Source organism: Homo sapiens, chromosome Y (assembly GCF_000001405.40).
Source record: "Homo sapiens chromosome Y, GRCh38.p14 Primary Assembly".
Taxonomy (NCBI): Eukaryota; Metazoa; Chordata; class Mammalia; order Primates; family Hominidae; genus Homo; species Homo sapiens.
In genome coordinates, this window is record NC_000024.10 from 13,891,123 (window position 1) to 13,913,923 (window position 22,801).

At 42.1% G+C, this 22,801-nt stretch overlaps 1 pseudogene; it reads left to right on the plus strand.

Moving 5' to 3' along the window:
- ANOS2P (anosmin 2, pseudogene) overlaps positions 1 to 22,801 on the plus strand; it is a 168,317-nt pseudogene that overhangs the window by 139,417 nt on the left and 6,099 nt on the right.

Sequence of the window (22,801 nt, forward strand, 5' to 3'; positions counted from 1 at the left end):
GCTATCAGTTTTGTCCCCTTCAAGCTGTTAGGAGGAGGAGAATTTGGCCCAACCCGGATACATATCCCCTTCTCCCTCTCTGATTTAAAGCAGATCAAGGCAGGCCTGGGGAGATTTTCAGATGATCCTGATAGGTACATAGTTGTCCTACAGGGTCTAGGGCAAACCTTCGACCTCGCTTGGAGAGATGTCATACTACTGTTAGATCAAACCCTGGCCTTTAATGAAAAGTATGTGGCTTTAGCTGCAGCCTGAGAGTTTGGAGATACCTGGTATCTTAGTCAAGTAAATGATAGAATGACAGCTGAAGAAAGGGACAAATTCCCTACTGGTCAGCAAGCCATCCCCAGTATGGATCCCCACTGGGACCTTGACTCAGATCATGGGGACTGGAGTCATAAATATCTGTTGACCTGTGTTCTAGAAGGACTGAGGAGAATTAGAAAAAGCCCATGAATTATTCATTGATGTCCATCATAACCCAGGGAAAGGAAGAAAATCCTTCTGCCTTCCTTGAGCGGCTATGAGAGGCCTTAAGAAAATATACTTCCATGTCACCCAAATCATTCAAGGGTCAAATGATTCTAAAAGATAAGTTTATTACCCAATCAGCTGCAGATATCAGGAGAAAGCTCCAAAAGCAAGCCCTGGGCCCTGAACAAAATCTAGAGACATTATTAAACCTGGCAACCTTGGTGTTCTATAATAGGGACCAAGAGGAACAGGCCCAAAAGGAAAAGCGAGATCAGAGAAAGGCTGCAGCCTTAGTCATGGCCCTCAGACAAACAAACCTTGGTGGTTCAGAGAGGACAGAAAATGGAGCAGGCCAGTCACCTGGTAGGGATTTTTATCACTGTGGTTTGCAAGGACACTTTTAAATAGATTATTCAGTGAGAAACAAGCTGCCCCCTCGTCCATGTCTACTATGCCTAGGCAATCACTGGAAGGTGCACTAACCCAGAGGATGAAGGTTCCCTGGGTCAGAAGCCCCCAACCAGATGATCCAACAACAGGACTGCGGGTGCCCAGGGCAAGCGCCAGCTCATGTCATCACCCTCACTGAGCCCCAGGTGTGTTTAACTATAGAGGGCCAGGAAATTGACTTCCTCCTGGACACTGGCGTGGCTTTTTCAATGTTAATCTCCTGTCCTGGATGACTGTCTTCAAGGTCCATTACCATCTGAGTAATCCTGGGACAGCCTTTAAACAGGTATTTCTCCCACCTCCTCAGTTGTAATTGGGAGACTTTGCTCTTTTCACATGCCTTTCTTGTTATGCCTGAAAGTCCCACACCCTTATTAGGGAGAGATATATTAGCCAAGGTGGGAGCTATTATCTACATGAGTATGGGGAACAAGTTACACATTTGTTGTCCCCTACTTGAGGAGGGAATCAACCCTGAAGTCTGGGCATTGGAAGGACAATTTGGAAGGGCAAAAAATGCCCAGCCAGTCCAAATCAGGTTAAAAGGCAATATCTCTTTTGGCCTGAAGCTCATAAAGGATTACAGAATATTGTTAAATATTTGAAAGCTCAAGGCTTGGTAAGGAAATGCAGCAGTCCCTGCAACATCCCAATTCTAGTAGTACAAAAACTGAATGGTCAGTGGAGACTAGTGCAAGATCTTAGACTCAATAATGAGGCAGTAATTCCTCTATATCCAGTTGTACCAAACCCCTATATCTTGCTCTCTCAAATACCAGAGGAAGCAGAATGGTTGATGGTTCTGGACCTCAAGGATGCCTTCTTCTGTATTCCCCTGCACTCTTTGCTTTGACTCCCAGTTCCTCTTTGCTTTTAAGGATCCCACAGACCACACACCCCAACTTACATGGACGATCTTACCCCAAGGATTTAAGGATAGCCCTCATCTGTTTGGTCAGGCACTGGCCCAAGATCTAGGCCACCTCTCAAGTCCAGGCACTCTGGTCCTTCAATATATCGATGATTTGCTTTTGGCTACCATTTCGGAAGCCTCATGCCAGCAGGCTACTCTAGATCTCTTGAACTTTCTAGCTAATCAAGGGTACAATGTGTTTGGGTCGAAGGCCCAGCTTTGCCTACGGCAGGTCAAATATCTAGGCCTAATCTTAGCCAGAGGGACCAGGACCCTCAGCATGGAATGAATACAGCCTCTATTGGCTTATCCTCACCCTAAAACATTAAAACAGTTGCGGGGGTTCCTTGGAATTACCGGCTTTTGCTGACTAGGGATCCCTGGATACAGCAAGATAGCCAGGCCCCTCAATACTGTAAGTAAGGAAACCCAGAGGGCATCTTGTAGAATGGTAACCAGGGGCAGAAACAGCCTTCAAAACCTTAAAGCAGGCCTTAGTACAATCTCCAGCTTTAAGCCTTCCCACAGGACAAAACTTCTCTTTATACATCACAGAGAGAGCAGGGATAGCTCTTGGAGACCTTATTCAGACTCGTGGGAAAACCCCACAACCAGTGGCATACCTAAGTAAGGAAATAGATGCAGTAGCAAAAGTCTGGCCTCACTGTTTAAAGTTAGTTGCTGCAGTGGCCGTCTTTGTGTCAGAGGCTATCAAAATAATACAAGGAAAGGATCTCACTGTCTGGACTACTCATGAGGTAAATGGCATACTAGGTGCCAAAGGAAGTTTATGGCTATAAGACAACTGCCTCCTTAGATACCAGGTGCTACTCCTTGAGGGACCAGTGCTTCAAATATGCACGTGCATGGTCCTCAACCCTGCCACTTTTCTCCCAGAGGATGGGGAAATGATTATGCATGACTGTGAACAAAATAGTCCAGACGTATGCTGCCCAAGATGATCTTTTAGAAGTTCCCTTAACTAATCCTGATCTTAACCTATACACTGAGGAAAGTTCATTTGTGGAGAATGGGGTATGAAGGGCAGGTTATGCCATAGTTAGCGATGTAACCATACTTGAAAGTAAGCCTCTTCCCCTAGGGACCAGTGCCCAGTTAGCAGAACTAGTGGCACTTACCTGAGCCTTATAACTGGGAAAGGGAAAAAGAATAAATGTGTATATAGATAGCAAGTATGCTTATCTAATCCTACATGCTCATGATGCAATATGAAAAAGGAGGGAGTTCCCAACCTCTGGGGGAACCCCCGTTAAATACCACAAGGAAATTATAGAGTTATTGCACACAGTGCAAAAACCCAAGGAAGTGGCAGTCTTACACTGCCAAAGCCATCAGAAAGGTGAAGGAAAGAAAGCAGAAGGAAACTGTCGGGCAGATGCTGAGGCAAAATTGCTACCAGGTGGAACCCCTTATTAGAAATACCTACAGAAGGACCTTTGGTATGGAACAACCCCCTCCAAGAAATTAAGCCCCAGTATTCCCTGACTGAAACAGAATGGGGACTTTCACAGGGGCATAATTTTCTTCCTTCAGGGTGGTTGGTAACAGAAGAAGGAAAGGTACTTATAACTGAAGCCAGCCAGTGGAAAATACTTAAAACCCTCCACCAAACTTTTCATATAGGTATTGAAAACACTAATCAAATGGCCAAATCCCTATTTACAGGGCCAAATCTCCTCCAGACCATCCAACAGGTAGTCAAAGCCTGTGAGGTGTGCCAAAAGAATAATCCCTTGGTTCATCATAAGGACCCATTGAGGGAACAAAGAATAGGTCACTATCCTGGAAAGGACTGGCAGTTAGACTTCTCCCATATGCCTAAGTCAAAGGGATTTCAATACTTGTTGGTCTGTGTTGATACCTTTACAAATTGGATAGAAGCTTTCGCCTGCAAGACAGAGAAGGCTCAGGAAGTGATTAAAGTCCTAATTCATGAAATAATTCCTAGATTTGGGCTTCCCCAAAGCTTACAGAGTGACAATGGTCCAGCTTTTAAAGCCATGATAACTCAGGGAATCTCCAGGCCACTAGGGATACAATATCATCTTCACTGCTTATGGAGGCCACAATCCTCAGGGAAAGTCGAGAAGGCAAATGAAACGCTCAAGAGGCACTTAAGGAAACTAACACAAGAAACTCACCTCCCATGGCTTACTCTTTTGCCTATGGCCCTGTTGAGGATCTGAAATTCTCCTCACAAAATAGGGCTTAGTCCATATGAAATGCTGTATGGGCGACCTTTTCTCCCAGATGACCTCCTACTTGATCAGGAAATGGCCAACTTGGTGAAAGATATAACTTCTTTGGCAAAATATCAACAAAACCTTAAAAACCTACCTGAAGGTTGTCACAGAGAAAAGGGAGCAGAGTTGTTTCAACCAGGAGATCTAGTGTTGGTCAAATCTCTTCCCTCTACCTCCCCATCTCTGGACTCTTTGTGGGAAGGACCATACTTGGTAATCCTCTCTACTCCCACTGCAGTTAACATGGCAGGAATCGAATCTTTGATTCACCACTCCTGAGTTAAACTTTGGACATCCCCTGAGGAACCTGTGGGATCATCAGCTCAGCAGTCCCAACATCAGCCAGACCAGCCTCGATACACCTGTAAACTGTTGGAGGACTTGCACCTCCTATTTCGGAAAGAAATATCCCAGACGAAAAAGGCTCCTATCCTTTTTGATCCTGTGATCAAAAGAGAAAAGTAGCAGGGTTGAGGGCCATGCACATGCGTATTTGATCCTGAGGAAAGACCTCATCCTCCTTAAAAAAGGTAGGGGAAAACAGCACACTAACCATACTCTTTGTGATAGGACTACATACTCTAGCTCCTGACAGAATGAAAATCCTAATCACATCAACCTTCTTTCTATCTTCCTTCCTCTTGACAGTAATTTACTCCTACCTGTAACTCAGACTAGATAAAATGATCTCGTTTTCCCTGCAGCAGTGCCGCCACCACTAGTGAATGCCTTCTCATCCCCTTTCAATCACTCTCTCGAATGGATCCTAGTGGATAAAAAACTTTTTTTTCTCCAATGGGAAATTAGAACGCAGGGAGCCACTCAGTTTTCTCCCAACACCCCTTTCCAGCTGCTCACTGGAGGTATCTTGGCCAGTACTCTAGGAGTATGGGAAAATGAAAAGAAACTCACACACCTTTTTAGCATACATAACCAGTTCTGTCTACCCAGCCAAGGCATATTCTTCTTATGTGGAATGTTGACCTATATGTGCCTCCCCACTAACTGGACAGGCACCTGCACCTTAGTCTTCCTAAGTCCCAACATTAACATTGCCCCAGGAAATCAGAACTTATCAGTACCCCTCAAAGCTCAAGTCCATCAGCACAGAGCCATACAACCAATACCCCTGCTTATAGGGTTAGGAATGGCTACTGCTACCGGAACTGAAATAGCTGGTTTATCTACTTCATTATTCTACTACCACACACTCTCAAAGGATTTCTCAGAGTTTGCAAGAAATAACAAAATCTATTCTTACTTTACAATCCCAAATAGACTCTTTGGCAGCAGTGACTCTCCAAAACTGCTGAGGCCTATACCTCCTCACTACTGAGAAAGCAGGACTCTGCACCTTCTTAGGGGAAGAGTGTTGTTTTTACACTAACCATTCAGGGATAGTACGAGATGCCACCTGGTGTTTACAGGAAAAGTTTTCTGAAATCAAACAACATCTTTCAAACTCTTATACGAACCTCTGGAGTTGGGCATTATGATTTCTCCCCTTTCTAGTTCCCATGGCAGCCATCTTGCTATTACTTGCCTTTGGACCCTGTATTTTTAACCTGCTTGTCAAATTTGTTTCCTCTAGAATTGAGGCCATCAAGCTACAGATGGTCTTACAAATGGAACCCCAAAGGAGTTCAACTAACAACTTCTACCAAGGACCCCTGGACTGACCCCCTGGCACTTTTACTGGCCTGGAGAGCTCCCCTCAGGAGGACACTACAACTACAGGGCCCCTTCATCACTCCTGTCCAGCAGGAAGTAGCTAGAATGGTCATCAGCCAAATTCCCAACAGCAGTTGGGGTGTCCTGTTTAGAGGGGGGATGGAGAGGTGACAGAGTGCTGGCACCCCTCACAGCCCTCGCTCACTCTTGGCACCTCCTCGACCTTGGTGCCCACTCTGGCTGTGCTTAAGGAGCACTTCAGCCCACCGCTGCACTGTGGGAGCCCCTTTCTGGGCTGATGAAGGCCAGAGCCAGCTCCCTTAGCTTGCAGGGAAGTGTGGAGGCAGAGGCGCGGCTGGGAACCAGGGCTGCATGGGGCACTTGTGGGCCAGCGCAAGTTCCCGGTGGGCGTGCACTCAGCAAGCCCTGCACTTGGAGTGGCCAGCCCACCCACAAGCCCCAGGCAGTGAGGGGCTTAGCACCTGGGCCAGCAGCTGCTGTGCTCAATTTCTTACCAGGCCTTAGCTTCCTCTCTGTGGGGCAGGGCTTGGGACCTGCAGCCCACCAAGCCTGAGCCTCTTGGATGAGTGCTGCTCCCTGCTCCATGGTGCTGAGTCCCATCGATCAGCCAAGGGCTGAGGAGTGTGACCGTGTGGCGCGCCACTGGCAGGCAGCTCCACCTGTGGTCCTGGTGCAGGATCCACTGGGTGAAGCCAGCTGAGCTCCTGAGTCTGGTGGGGACTTGAAGAACCTTTATGTCTAGCTAAGGGATTATAAATACACCTATCAGCACTCTGTATCTAGCTCAAGGTTTGTAAACACACCAATCAGTACCCTGTGTCTAGCTCAGGGTATGTGAATGCACCAATTGACACTCTGTATCTAGCTACTCTGGTGGGCATGTGGAGAACTTTTGTGTCAACACTCTGTATCTAGCTAATCTAGTGGGGACACGGAGAACTTTTGTGTCTAGCTCAGGGATTGTAAACGCACCAATCAGCACCCTGTCAAAACAGACCAATCAGCTCTCTGTAAAATGGACCAATCAGCAGGATTTGGGTGGGGCCAGACAAGGGAATAAAAGCAGGCTGCCTGAGCCACTGCATCTTGATGGTTTTCTGGCTCTAGACTTTGTGTCTCTACAACGTAAATGTGAAAAGTTAGCTCAGACATAGAGGAAACATTCATGCTTCTATTTTAAGTAGAAATGCCTATGTGATACTCAAAAATTCTTATTTTAGTTGTACATCAGAAAGTTCTGTTTCACCAGATCATGTTTACAGATAGAGTATGAGGCATTGATCCATGAGAGGACTTCATTCAACTAACCTTTACTGAGCACCTACTGTATGCAATGCACCATTTCCGATGCTAAAACACTGCAAAGAGGCAGACAGAAATCCCTACCCTGATGGAATTGGCGTTCTGTGACACCTCTCTAAGTGTGTGCCCCCTTCCCTAGTGCTGTGACTTACAATTCTTTTTAAAGCCATTATTATTCTGGAGAACCCAAGGATTGCCTCTTTCTCAGAGCTCTAATGTCAATAACCCTATCATTCTTTGTCATTAGACTTTTGCGAACTGAGGAATTCACATTTAATGAAAAATTTTAGAGCCCTTTATTTATGCCAGACACTGTGAGTTACATCTATTTGAAAAGAAAATTAGACCCATCTAATTTTTGAACCATAGTTGAAGCATATTACAGGTAAATTTTTTATCACTTAAAAATACTTTTCAGGTACTTTCTTTGTAATGTCATTTGTTTGTGGAAGGAATTAAGCTAAGGAACCAGATCAATTGGGTATTTAGCACAGAATTTTCAGATACACCCTTTCAGGAAGTGTTTGGCTATTTATTTTATTTTATTATTATTTTTTTAAGACAGAGTTTTACTGTTGTTGCCCAGGCTGGAGTGCAATGGCACGATCTCAGCTCACTGCAACATCCACTTCCCGGGTTCAAGCGATTCTCCTGCCTCAGCCTCCCGAGTAGCTGGGATTACAAGCATGTGCCACCATACCTGGCTAATTTTTGTATTTTTAGTAGCGACAGGGTTTCACCATGCTGGCCAGGCTGCTCTTGAGCTCCTGACCTCAGACAATCCACCCACCTCAGCCTCCCAAAGTGCTGGGATTACAGGCATGAGCCACCACGCCCGGCCTGAACTATGCTATTTTTAATATTCTAGTTACAGATTGAGACCTGCAGTCATAACCTAAAATACAAGCTCTTAGGATTTTAGTCATTGGCAAGATAAAGCTAAGGACATGATGTTTGTATAAATGACTTCCATCAAAGCAAATATCTATGAATTGATCTGTTAAAATTGAGCTCAACTCACATAAATGAGTGTGGGCATTGTTAGTCCCCATACTGGTCATTTGGGGGTGCCATTTACAATACTTTCAGGGCATTTTTAATCTAAGTTTAATTTATATTTTACTTTCTCAGATTGCTTTTAAATACCTTATGTAATATCATGTCTTTTCACACTTTCTTCCATGTCTTAGATTATAAGGAATTATTTTCACTGTTGCCAGAATGAGTAGAGAAATAAAAGTGAATTTGAACTGGTATACCTTTGTTCACTTATTTATTCATTAAATGTTTACTGTCTGTTTATCACCTGCCAGGCACCATGCTCATCTTTGTTTATGCAACAGTGACAGCAAATAGGCATTATCTTTATAGTTATGGAGCTCTAACCAAATGGGGTTGACAGGGATTCATGAAGTAACCACAGAATCAAACAAAACATTGGGAAAGAGAGGAGTGTCTGCATGAGATAAATATGTAGAGGCAGTGGAGACCTGGAAGCCAGGCTGAGTATTAGTGTCTTTATTCAGAGGGCAGAGAAAAGCCATTCAATGACTCAAAGCCAACCTTGAGATGGGGATATTACCCTTAATTATTTGGGTGGAAACGAATACAATCACAAAAGTCCTTAAAAGTAGAATAGGGAAGCAGAGTGCAAGAATCAGAGAGATGGCATGGTGTGAAGGACTCAGCCCAGTGTTGTTGACTTTGAAGCTGGTGGAAGGGCACCACCAGCCAAAGAATGCCAGAAGCCTCTAGAAACCTGAAAAGTCATGAAAATACATTCTTCCCTGGAGCCTCCAGAAAGGAGTACAGGCCTGCCTTGATTTTAGACCAGTGACACCCATTTCAGACCTCCAGAAGAGAAGACATTTATATTGTTTTAAGCATCTACACTCAAGGTAATTTGTCACAGCAGCTGTAGAAAACCAGTACATGAACTGATTTAAAACACACCAAACCTATTGCATTGGCTGAATTAGTATCCTTATTCTCAGATACAGGGAATGAGGCTCACTGAGGCTGTTGGAGTTGCTTGCTGAAGCCCACCTTCCTTGAAGGTTATGTGTGGGGTCAAAATTCTGCATCCTACAGCCAGAAAGAAAAGTGTGAATGCAAGGAGCAGTTGAGGTGCAGAAATCAACATGGTAGCTACAGCAAAGTTGAATTTGGAAGGCCTCCACATGGGAGAGGAAGGAGGGAGCATCAGCTCTTCAAGGGACTAGCTCAGGTGAAAGTAGATATTTGGGAGCTGTCAGCAGAAAAATTTTTCAAACCATGGGAATCAATGAAGTGATTCATGGAGGTGACACAGAGAGAAGATGAAAGTGCAGTGAACTCAGACATGGCAAGATTTAGGGCTAACAAAAGGGAGGGAACCCAAAAGGAGTGCCCCATGTGTCACTCTTGATGCTGCCTCCTATGAAAATATAATTGCATTGTAAAATATGTAAAGGATTTTTAGGATATGGAGGATCCCCAGGGCAGCCAAGCCTCCTTGTATTGCTGTAATGTAGCCACCCCAAGTCCCCTGACTGCTCTTCACCAAAGACCTTCAGTCATCCGTCATGCTCCGTTCTCATGTCAGCACTTTGGCACGTGCTGTGTATTCCCTGCTGGTAGAGCATTTAAGCTGCCCAATATTGTAACCATGGCCATCTTCAGCTGTTTAAATTTAAATTAATTAAAATGAAACAGAATAAAGAATTAAATTCCTCTGTTAAACAGAGGACATGTGAAATGCTTTATAGGCACAGGTGACTAGTGTTTACCACAGACAGAACATTTCCATCACACCCGCCAGTTCTGTTGGACAGGGCTGGCTGAGAACACCCTCCCACAGGTCTCTGCAGTGCCACTACCCACTGCTACACCTTCTTCAAGTCCTGACTCAGAATTGAACACACGCCAGTCGCCTTATATAAAATCAGCACTTTTTGTCAATCCACCCTACTGCCCTTACCTTCTGTTTTTTTTGTTGTTTTTGTTTTTTTGTTTTTGAGGGGGGGTGGTGGGGGACGGAGTTTTGCTCTTGTTGCCCAGGCTGGAGTGCAGTGGCGTGATCTCGGCTCACTGAAACATCCGCCTTCCGGTTTCAAGAGATTCTCTGGCCTCAGCCTCCCGAGTAGCTGGGATTACAGGCGCCTGCCACCACGCCTGGCTAATTTTTGTATTTTTAGTAGAGAGGGGGTTTCACCATGTTGGCCAGGCTGGTCTCAAACTCCTGACCTAGTGATCTGCCTGCCTCGGCCTCCCAAAGTGCTGGGATTACAGGCGTGAACCACCGTGCCCAGCCACCTTCTGTATTTATATGTGGACTTACTACGTTCTAACATAATATCTATCTTATCTATGTATTGTATTTATTCTCTGTTATTATTGGCCCCATTACTATGTAAAATTCAGGAGGGCAGCAGCCACTCCTGTGTGATTATTTCATTGCTGTTGAATGGAAGAACATGAACACACTCAGTGATTGACTTCAGCGTTGTGCATAGCCTATAATTCTTTTTTTAAAAAATAAACTCTTGATGTCTGCTATGTAAAAATTAAAACCTCTAGTACATGATTTCTCTTTTTGCTAAATGCCCGGAGTGCCCACTTTTATATCTGTTTGCTTTCTCGGATTTAAAGTTCTTCTTTTCTGGTTCCAAAGTGCTCAAAGCGACGTTCCCACTAGATCAACCCAATTTCATCAAAGAGTTTTCTCCTCTGAAAACCCCCATCAAACACTTGGCATGATGTTGGGGGACAAGATGTTAAATCACCTGCAAAATGGTGCCGTTTGGTGCCATTTCACACTCCTCGGACACACTGGGGTGATTAATAAACCCGAGACTGTCAAGGTCTGCTTTCCCACACTCATTGAGTTGCTTGCCGTTATTTTATCTTTTTTTCCCCCCACTTTATTGTCCAAAGTAAAGAAATGTACAGAAAATATTCCTCTTGCCCTGGGAATAAACGTGTTCAAAGGGTCAGTCTTCTGGCCTGTGTTTGAGAACACCAAGTCATATTTCAGTAGGGATCAGCCATACAGAAATGCCACGATGCGCTTGGTTAAGGGAAAGTGGGAAGCATACGTCCCTATCCTTTTGACAAAAGAACTTCTTTATGGCAATACATAACAGGAAATAAACGTGGATAGCCAATTCTGCAAGTGTGAAGGCAATGTTTTTGTTCTTGTGTGGATTCAATAGTATCTCATCTTTATCAAAAAAAAGGTAGGATTGAGAAACTTCTGATGATTCTCTTTTACAACAGGAATTACGAGAGATGTTGCTAGGTGTTGCCTTTCATTGTAGGGCTTTGCTTACTGTAAAAACCATGGCTAGGTTATTCTCAAGACATCTTTGGAATCATTTTGCTATGACTTTACTAATTTTTTTTTCTACTTAGTACTTGCACTTCAACACAGGTTTTCCCTTGGCAGTATATTACTTTTTTCCCTTACTTTGTTCTTAATGATTAAGTATTCAGAATTACTAATTATTATAATTATTAAGTAATCAGAATCTCACCTCCTTTGGCTCACTGTGCATTTATTGGTCACCTGTAGAGTTTCATTTCCTCTCCTTTTCTCCTCTCAAGTTCAAGAACCCCAGGCTACCTGGAATGTAACATCCGGCCTATTATTTTTGTTTGCGTGTTTTGGCATTATAGATCCCACTGTCAACCGATATCATGTGCGGTGGTTTCCTGAAGTGTGTGCCCACAACAGAACAACCGGATCAGAGGCATCATCTGGCATGACCCACGTAAGGACATGATCTCTAGGCCAACTTGATCTGTGAACATAATTAGACAGGAGGATGTACAAACTAGACATGTCAAACAGATAACTCATTCTCACAAATCAGCTATTGAGTAATGACTTGATAGAAGCGGAAAGCAGAATGGTCATTATATTCACTCATTCTTTTATCCATTCACACCATTGCACTGGGAGCTTACTCTGTTATCCACATGGAGCAAAACCTAAAGTGCAGAGACTAAAGACACAGTTCTTAAAGAACTCCCATATTTCAGGGGGAAATATGTCTGAGTATGTGTGTGCTTCATCTTAACTGGACAAAAGCTTTGAATTATTTTCTGAATTTTGACATGTCACCGTGATCTAAAGGTGTAATGGTACAAGTGGATTTCTATGTGACTCTATCATTTAGCACCATGTCCCTAACTGCCATCAGCTCAGTTAGTGAAATAATCTCCCTGTCCTGTATAGCATGCACCAATATTTTGACTTTCAACTTTAAGAGAACATTAAACTCTCTGAGGATAGCAACTCTGTCAATATTGCCCAAAATGTTATTCCAAATATTTTGGGGTTCATTCATGAATTATAGATTAGAATCAACAAACCAACACAAAATGTTTAAGAGGCCATTGTATTATACAAAGTGTATAATACACTTTTATGGAAATTTATATGTAATACCTCAGGACAGTTTAAAAAATCCAAAAACATGGCCCCAAACAGAATGTTTTGGTTTGTGACATATAACTAGAATATTTTTTTTTGAACATTTTCTAAAGCAAGCACAATATTTTAAGAACCATACCTGCTGGCATAATTTTAAGAGAGTGAGATAAAACAAGTCACTGGATTTTCAGAAATACACAGATTCTTTTTCTTTTTTACTGGACTTAATTTGTCTCATGTTCAGCAATGTTTCTCCTTTTATTTATCCTTAAATTAGCTCCAATGTTTGTGACCTTCAGTAAAATAATTAAACAGACATTCTAAATAAGGAAGTTGATTTGAAAAGCAGAGAAAGCAATAAACAGAAGCAGGAATTATTAATATTTTTGTGGGCAGAGGGGTGAGGTTTTTGTTTTACTTATATGTGTGTGCCTCAGAACCTTACAGAACTGGGCTTATGTCAATGCAATTCCCCAATCCTAGGCTTATCATCTTTAGGAACTCTGAAAGTGGTAACAACTATTTGCTGAGCAGATGTAATGTATCCGGCAGAAATAAAAATCAAACTCCAGAAAAATTATCCTTCTAGGGGTGTAGAACTTATCTGTATTTAGTTTTAAGCCTTTAGATCCAATTATTATAATTTGTTTTTATGCTACAATGGAGCATCCACTAATTCACTTACTGCTGCAGATGTCTGTCTCCTATGCAACATGAAAGCAATCTTGAAATATCTGTGAAACAGGATCCTTAATAGCTAACCTTGGATTCCAATACAGTCCCATGTAAAGAGCAGATTTATTTCCAAAGAAAAGCAATTCAGACTTCCAAAGAGACATGGAGGCCTTGGCTTGGGCTTGGGTTGGGCTTGGGTTGGTCTTGCGTTGTCCAGATTGATTTGTTTCCTATTCACTGTTTGTGCTAACTGGCTGCAGAGTTGGGTGCACCCCATCTCCTGTCACCATCTGGATGAAGGGCCAGCACACCTGGAGGTCACTCCTGGTCTCTTTTGATCATTCAGTGCTCTGTCACCTGCAGCCACTTCCACTCCTCACTTAAGTAAATCACTCAAGCCTCAGTTTTGATTTTAATTCTTGTCTCATGTTTTTCCCGTCAACCCTGCTGCTTTCTAGCAAGATCCCCTACCCATCATCCAATGAGTACCAGAGATGTTCCATCTGTACCTTTTTTTCTCTCTTAAAATAATTACACACACACACACACACACACACACACACACACATAAAAACCATGGAGTCTCACTATGTTGCCTAAACTCATCACAAACTCCTGAGTTCAAGCAATCCTCCCACCTCAGCCTCTCAAGTAGCTAGGACTATGACACGAGTCACTATGCCCAGCTATCCATCTGCACTTTTAACATATTCATTAAGAATTGGTAAATACAAAACAGAATGGATAGGTGCCACTTAGCCAGATATAAAAGAAACAGAGATACACACCTGTTATCACAGGAAATGTCATCTTTTGACATTATCATAAAGTTATATTCTTAGCCCCTGACTTGTTACCATTTAGCCTCTTTCTTTTATTTACATTTAATCACAAATTATGGCAGAAAACTGTAACAGCACTCCAAAAAAGGGAAAAATTATATTGCTAAAGAGTATCATCATTTTTTAACAGAAAAACTTACATATAAACTAATTCTATGTCTCAGAGAAGCCTGCATTAGTTTTTTTTAACTGAAAAAAGTTAGATTTGTATTTACAGCTTTACACCACTACCTGCACTGCTACCAACTGAAAAATGCTGATTGTGACCTTAGAAGTAGCCTGCTTTGATAAGGAATTATTACAATTCTGTTTAATTCTAGAAGGCATATCCTGCAGCCATGGGAGTGTTTCACAATTGTCATTAATCAAAATGTGGACAGTATGTGCTTTGTACTTTTTATAAAAGCCATATTGCACACACTATATAGGAAAACATCCTTATTGGATGGAATATTATTTCAATTCTTGCCAGTGTTTTTTAATCCCTAATGAGATTTATTCCTAGCATAATTCTCTTTCTCTTGCTCTACGAAAGTTATATAATGCTTCAACATGTGTCATTTTCCTGCAAGTATAAGGTGACTGTCCAACCAATATGGCCAAAAGTCACTCCAAGGCAGAAGCTGTTTTCTTCACTACTCCACCATGCTCTGCTCTTAAGGGGAACAGCCACAAGCCTGTTGGCTGCCTGGGCGAAGCAGGCACATTATCACCTGAAGGACTTCTACATCTAGGTCTACGGTGTCAGCAGCGCTTTGCAAACCTTGCCAAACTGTGTTTCACAAGACCGTGAATACCAAAAGTGCCTCTCTTTCTAAGTTGTGTTATGTTGGCCCAATGTGGAGGGAAGAGATGTAGGAATGAATGTGTTACTTTAAAGCCTAACAGCCTTGGAAAGATGTCCTTTGATAGCAATGTTATCCCTTTGGAAATGAAGGCAAACATTTAGATACTGCTTGTGTTTTGGGAAAGTTTGATATAATTATTTCATTTTTCCCCACCCTTTTGCTGTGTGGGTTATACTCACACACCTTCCATGCCAACCTAGCAAACCTCACATCTGTACCTTCCATCCCCTCTCCTAGCCAAAGTCCCTGTCTTGCAGTGGGAGAAACTCTTTTAAATGCACTGGATTTGGCCAGGCATAGTAGCTCATGCCTGAAATCCCAGTACTTTGAGAGGCTGAGATGGGAGAATCACTTGAGCCCTGGAGTTCCAGACCAGCATGGGCAACATAGCAAGATCTCACCTCTAAAAAAAAAACAAAAAACAAAAAACAAAACAAAACAAAAAAAACCCTTGGATTTAATAACTCTTCTAACAGCTTTAATATTTGCCTTCTCACTGCAGTCAACGCTATTCTTTAAGAAATAGTTAAGTCTTGCCAGGGTCTAAACTGCTCTCCTGCTTCCATCTTCAAAAAAGCATTCTAAAAATGATCCCCAAAAGACTGGAAGGAGCATTTAGTACCAAGTTAAGAGTGAGGAGATTCCTACTCAACCTATCCCCATATGTCAAAGGGGGTGATTGTCTGAACCCATGTTTAAAGAACAAGATCACGTTGCTTCTATTAATATCATCCCATAGACTGGCTGCCGAAAATTCCTACAATGGATCCCATGGTGACACCTTCTTCAGTTGCCTAATCCTGGTTTTCCTTCTTGCATTGCTGCAGGTCATGTTCTTTCTAAGGTGCTAGCTAAGCCTGAGAACCTTTCTGCTTCATTCATCTTCCAGGATGTGAACACCACCAGTCACTTTACTTGGAAGATGGCCAAGGCCAATCTCTATCAGCCCATGACTGGGTTTCAAGTGACTTGGGCTGAGGTCACTACGGAAAGCAGACAGAACAGCCTACCCAACAGCATTATTTCACAGCCCCAGATCCTGCCTTCCGTACATCCCACCTCTTGTACTATGTCCGTGTCATTGGTATCTACTGCTCCTTTTTACTGACCTTCAGAGGTGGCTACCTCTGTCATTCTGTGTGCTGTACTATTGAGTCTTATTTTTGCATTTTCTTCTTCTGAGTGTATCTTTTGCAAGTATTAACACAACACAAATGTGACTGCATAGCTAAGAAGTAGCATAAGCTGCCATCTAGATAAAGTTTGATGGCTAGAGCTAACTCATGAAAAGACCTTACCCTATCTTGTATATAAGTGATTAAGCCATTTTCTTATATCTTTGTTAACCTCATGTCTCTCTGGTCCCAGTGGACATGGCCTGTTTGAAGTGTTGAGTTGGGGAGGGCGGGAATAGCTAAAAGAAGCTTGTTGTTTGTCTGTCTTCCCCCCAACTTCAAATTTGGCTCGAGGCTGTAATGAGTTGGCCTGTCTCTCAGTCCACTTAATTCCCTGGCTTCAGAAAAAAAAAATCATCTGTGGGATTTTACCTTCTCTGAAAATGCCCTTAGAATAGCCAGCTACCATTACAAAATCCAAAAAGGGGTGGTGGGGAGGGAAAGAAACACAACTTAAATCTCAGAAGGAAAAACTCCATGGAATTAGAGAGTAGTTATCCTATAAATATACTTGGTATTTTTGCATTTTGAAAAGAATGTGTTGGCATAAAAATAAACATTTTCAGTTATGGGCATTGACAGATATTGTGTTTTAAGAAAAACAGTTGGCTCATTCACTGAAATTTGGATTATCAAGAGTTCACATCACAAGATGTGCAGCTGAAGACTTTAAACCATGGGAAAGTCTTATGTTAAGGAATTAAAAAAATAAATAAAACACCAGGAGTGAGCCCTAAGAACTGGCACCTCAGCATATTTTAACTCTGCCAAGTGTCTTAGTCTGCCAAGAATTGAGTGAGGTGCTAAGAAACCATATGGCAGAGAACCCCTACAAATGAGAAATTGTCTATAAATTAAACTATGCCTGTAGAAAGCAACCAAACTTGCCTCTGTATGATATTCTCCAGTGGAGGAAAAACTGTTCTAAGCTCTCTGTGCATTGTGCATTGTCTCTGAAAGGTTGTCGGTGAGCATCCTCTTTCATATTGTCCCCTTAGGATCACTATGTCCCAACAGTGCCCAATCGGAGACCATCTACTCTTTATTGACTGGAAGTGCAAGTACTGACCCCAGGAGGGGAGGGGCCTGCCACCCTCAAGATATTCCAGATGTGGAAGCTCCCACCCTCTTCAGCACACAGTGAGTGGGGTGCCAGGGCATTAAGCCATCCTGTCAGGTCTTGTGGACATAGAGAAAAATCTTGCTGGAAAATGAAAACAAATAAATACACTATTACAGGTTTCTATGAGATAGGGAAATTGTCATCATCTGAAATTCTTTCTCCCTGTTTGTACCGACTTACTAGATTCTATTCCAGGCACCTGTAGTATACATTGCATAGTTGATGCTTAATTTTTCTTTTTTCTCCCTCCCTTCCTCTTTCCCCATTTTCTCCCTTCTTTATTCCTCCCTTGTTTCCTTCTCCACCCTCTCTCCCTCCCTTTTTCCTTCCCTCTCCTTTTCTCCTTTCCTCTATCCTTCATTTTTTTTCCTTCCTTGCACTTTTCCCTATATAATGCATGCTTTTTTCCTTGTCTTTTAAACCGTAAGCACATATGGGAAAAAAATCTGTAGTCTCATATCAATCTGAAATATTTTTAAATCAAGATTCTCAAATATCACAATATAGGAAATAATATTTTACTAAGGAACTTATGTTCTTGTTACATAGATATTACTGTAATAAATGTCATGAATTTTCTTCATGATGTGACCCAAGTCCACCTTTTTATTGCTAAATCAAGTAAAATTTAAAAAGAAAACTGTCACCTAGATTTTCAAAACAGCCTCTTGCTGATTTTTAAATTATGTACTTCTTTTACTTTACTTTCTAGCTTAAATTTTTTAAAAAAGTGTCTGATGATTAGTGTGTGGATAAAACATTGAGAATTAGTCACAGTTTTAACTCTGGTTTTTTTAAATGATAGGTTAGTATGCTTATAATTGATAACTTGTTATGCTTATAATTTGAAGAAAAACAAAAACTATCACAATGGAAGAGCTTGATAGCCTCTAAAATTTTTGTTGGATAAATGCTTTTCTGATATTCCTTCATAGAAATTCCATTTAACAGGGCTTTAAGATTCTTCTCCGGAAATAGAAGATGGCCAAATAGGAACAGCTCTGGTCTACAGCTCCCAGCGTGAGAGATGCAGAAGATGGGTGATTTCTGCATTTCCATCTGAGGTACCAGGTTCATTTCACTAGGGAGTGCCAGACAGTGGGTGCAGGACAGTGGGTACAGCACACAGTACATGAGCCAAAGCAGGGCGAGGTATTGCCTCACTTGGGAAGTGCAAAGGGTCAGGGAGTTCGCTTTCCTAGTCAAAGAAACGGGTGACAGACGGCACCTGGAAAATTGGGTCACTCCTAGCTGAATACTGCACTTTCCCGAGGGGCTTAGGAAACAGCGCACCAGGAGATTATATCCCGCACATGGCTTGGAGGGGCCTATGCCCATGAAGTCTCACTGATTGCTAGCGCAGCAGTCTGAGATCAAACTGCAAGGTGGCAGCAAGGCTGGGGAGGGGCACCTGCCATTGCCCAGGCTTGCTTTGGTAAACAAAGCAGCAGGGAACCTTGAACTGGGTGGAGTCCACCACAGCTCAAGGAGGCCTGCCTGCCTCTGTAGCCTCCACCTCTGGGAGCAGGGCACAGACAAACAAAAAGACAGAAGTTACCTCTGCAGACTTAAATGTCCCTGTCTGAAAGATTTGAAGATAGCAGTGATTCTCCCAGCACGCAGCTGGAGATCTGAGAATGGGCAGACTGCTTCCTCAAGTGGGTCCCTGACCCCTGACCCCTGAGCAGCCTAACTGGGAGATATCCCCAGTAGGGGCAGACTGACACCTCACACAGCTGGGTACTCCCCTGAGACAAAACTTCCAGAGGAACGATCAGACAGCAGCATTCACGGTTCACAAAAATCCACTGTTGTGCAGCCACCGCTGCTGATACCCAGGCAAACAGGGTCTGGAGTGGACCTCCAGCCAACTCCAACAGACCTGCAGCTGAAGATCCTGTCTGTTAGAAGGAAAACTAACAAACAGAAAGGACATCCACACCAAAAACCCATCCGTACATCACCATCATCAAAGACCAAAAGTAGATAAAACCACAAAGATGGGGAAAAAACAGAGCAGAAAAACTGGAAACTCTAGAAAGCAGAGCACCTCTCCTCCTCCAAAGGAATGCAGTTCCTCACCAGCAATGGAACAAAGCTGGATGGAGAATGACTTTGACCAGTTGAGAGAAGAAAGCTTCAGATGATCAAACTACTCCGAGCTACAGGAGGAAATTCAAACCAAAGGCAAAGAAGTTAAAAACTTAGAAAAAAAATTAGACAAACTTATAACTAGAATAACCAATACAGAGAAATGCTTAAAGGAGCTGATAGAGCTGAAAGCCAAGGCTTGAGAACCACATGAAGAATGCAGAAGCCTCAGGAGCCAATGTGATCAACTGGAAGAAAGGGTATCAGTGATGGAAGATGAAATGCATGAAATGAAGTGAGAAGGGAAGTTTAGAGAAAAAAGAGTAAAAATAAACGAACAAAGCCTCCAAGAAATATGGGACTATGTGAAAAGACCAAAAGTATGTCTGATTGCTGTACTTGAAAGTGACAGGGAGAATGGAACCAAGTTGGAAAACACTTTGCAGGATATTATCCAGGAAAAGTTCCCCAATCTAGCAAGGCAGGCCAACATTCAGATTCAGGAAATACAGTGAATCCCACAAAGATATTCCTTCACAAGAGCACCTCCAAGACACATAATTGTCAGATTCACCAAAGTTGAAATGAAGGAAAAAATGTTAAAGGCAGCCAGAGAGAAAGGTCAGGTTACCCACAAAGGGAAGCCCATCAGACTAACAGCAGATCTCTCGGCAGAAACTCTACAAGCCAGAAGAGAGTGGGGGCTAATATTCAACATTCTTAAAGAAAAGAATTTTCAACCCAGAATTTCATACCCAGACAAACGAACCTTCAAAAGTGAAGGAGAAATAAAATACTTTACAGACAAGCAAATGCTGAGAGATTTTGTCACCACCAGGCCTGCCCTAAAAGAGCTCCTGAAGGAAGCACTAAACATGGAAAGGAACAACCGGTACCAGCCACTGCAAAATCATGCCAAATTGTAAAGACCATCAAGCCTAGGAGGAAACTGCATCAACTAATGAGCAAAATAACCAGCTAACATCATAATGACAGGATCAAATTCATACATAACTATATTAACTTTAAATGTAAATGGACTAAATTCCCCAATTAAAAGACATAGACTGGCAAATTGGATAAAGAGTCAGGACCCATCAGTGTGCTGTATTCAGGAAACCCATCTAACGTGCAGACACACGTAGGCTCAAAATAAAAGGATGGAGGAAGATCTACCAAGCAAATGGAAAAAAAAAGGCAGGGATTGCAATCCTAGTGTCTGATAAAACAGATTTTAAACCAACAAAGACCAAAGGAGACAAAGAAGGCCATTACATAATGGTAAAGGGATCAATTCAACAAGAAGAGCTAACTATCCTAAATATATATGCACCCAATACAGGAGCACCCAGATTCATAAAGCAAGTCCTGCGTGACCTACAAAGAGACTTAGACTCCCACGCAATAATAATGGGAGACTTTAACACCCCACTGACAACATCAGACAGATCAACGAGACAGAAAGTTAACAAGGATACCCAGGAATTGAACTCAGCTCGGCACCAAGTGGACCTAATAGACATCTACAGAACTCTCCACCCCAAATCAACAGAATATACATTTTTTTCAGCACCACATCACACCTATTCCAAAATTGACCACATACTTGGAAGTAAAGCTCTCCTCAGCAAATGTAAAAGAACAGAAATTATAACAAACTGTCTCTCAGACCACAGTGCAATCAAACTAGAACTCAGGATTAAGAAACTCACTCAAAACGGCTCAACTACATGGAAACTGAACAACCTGCTCCTGAATGACTACTGGGTACATAATGAAAAGAAGGCAGAAAGAAAGATGTTCTTTGAAACCAACCAGAACAAAGACACACATACCAGAATCTCTGCGACACATTCAAAGCAGTGTGTAGAGGAAAATTTATAGCACTAAATGCCTACAAGAGAAAGCAGGAAAGATCCAAAATTGACATCCTAATGTCACAATTAAAAGAACTAGAAAAGCAAGAGCAAACACTTTCAAAAGCTAGCAGAAGGCAAGAAATAACTGAAATCAGAGCAGAACTGAAGGAAATAGAGACAAAAAAAAAACCCTTCAAAAAATTAATGAATCCAGGAGCTGGTTTTTTGAAAGGATCAACCAAATTGATAGACCGCTAGCAAGACTAATAAAGAGGAAAAGAGAGAAGAATCAAATAGATGCAATAAAAAATGATAAAGGGCAGATCACCACTGATCCGACAGAAATACAAACTACCTTCAGAGAATACCACAAACACCTCTATGCAAATAAACTAGAGAATCTAGAAGAAATGGGTAAATTCCTGGACACATACACCCTCCTGAGACTAAACCAGGAAGAAGTTGAATCACTGAATAGACCAATAACAGGCTCTGAAATTGGGGCAATGATCAATAGCTTAGCAATCAAAAAGAGTCCAGGACCAGATGGATTCACAGCCCAATTCTACCAGAGGTACAAGGAGGAATGGGTACCATTCCTTCTGAAACTATTCCAATCAATAGAAAAAGAGGGAATCCTCCCTAACTCATTTTATGAGGCCAGCATCATCCTGATGCCAAAGCTGGGCAGAGACACAACCAAAAAAGAGAATTTTAGACCAAATATCCTTGATGAACATTGGTGCAAAAATCATCAATAAAATACTGGCAAACCAAATCCAGCAGCACATCAGAAAGCTTATCCACCATGATCAAGTGGGCTTCATCCCTGGGATGCAAGGCTGGTTCAATATATGCAAATCAATAAATGTAATCCAGCATATAAACAGAACCAAAGACAAAAACCACATGATTATCTCAATAGATGCAGAAAAGGCCTGTGACAAAATTCAACAACGCTTCATGCTAAAAACTCTCAATAAATTAGGTATTGATGGGAAGTATCTCAAAATAATAAGAGCTATCTATGACAAACCCACAGCCAATATCATACTGAATGGGCAAAAACTGGAAGCATTCCCTTTGAAAACTGGCACAAGACAGGGATGCCCTCTCTCACCACTCCTATTCAACATAGTGTTGGAAGTTCTGGCCAGAGCAATTAGGCAGGAGAAGGAAATAAAGGATATTCAATTAGGAAAAGAGGAAGTCAAATTGTCCCTGTGTGCAGACAAAATGATTGTGTATCTAGAAAACCCCATTGTCTCAGCCCAAAATCTCCTTAAGCTGATAAGCAACTTCAGCAAAGTCTCAGGATACAAAATCAATGTACAAAAATCACAAGCATTCTTATACACCAATAACAGACAAACAGAGAGCCAAATCATGAGTGAACTCCCATTCACAATTGCTTCAAAGAGAATAAAATACCTACAAATCCACCAGACAAGGGACGTGAAGGACCTCTTCAAGGAGAACTACAAACCACTGCTCAAGGAAATAAAAGAGGATACAAACAAAGAACATTCCATGCTCATGCGTAGGAAGAATCAATATTGTGAAAATGGCCATACTGCCCAAGGTAATTTATAGATTCAATGCCATCCCCATTAAGCTACCAATGACTTTCTTCACAGAATTGGAAAAAACTACTTTAAAGTTCATATGGAACCAGAA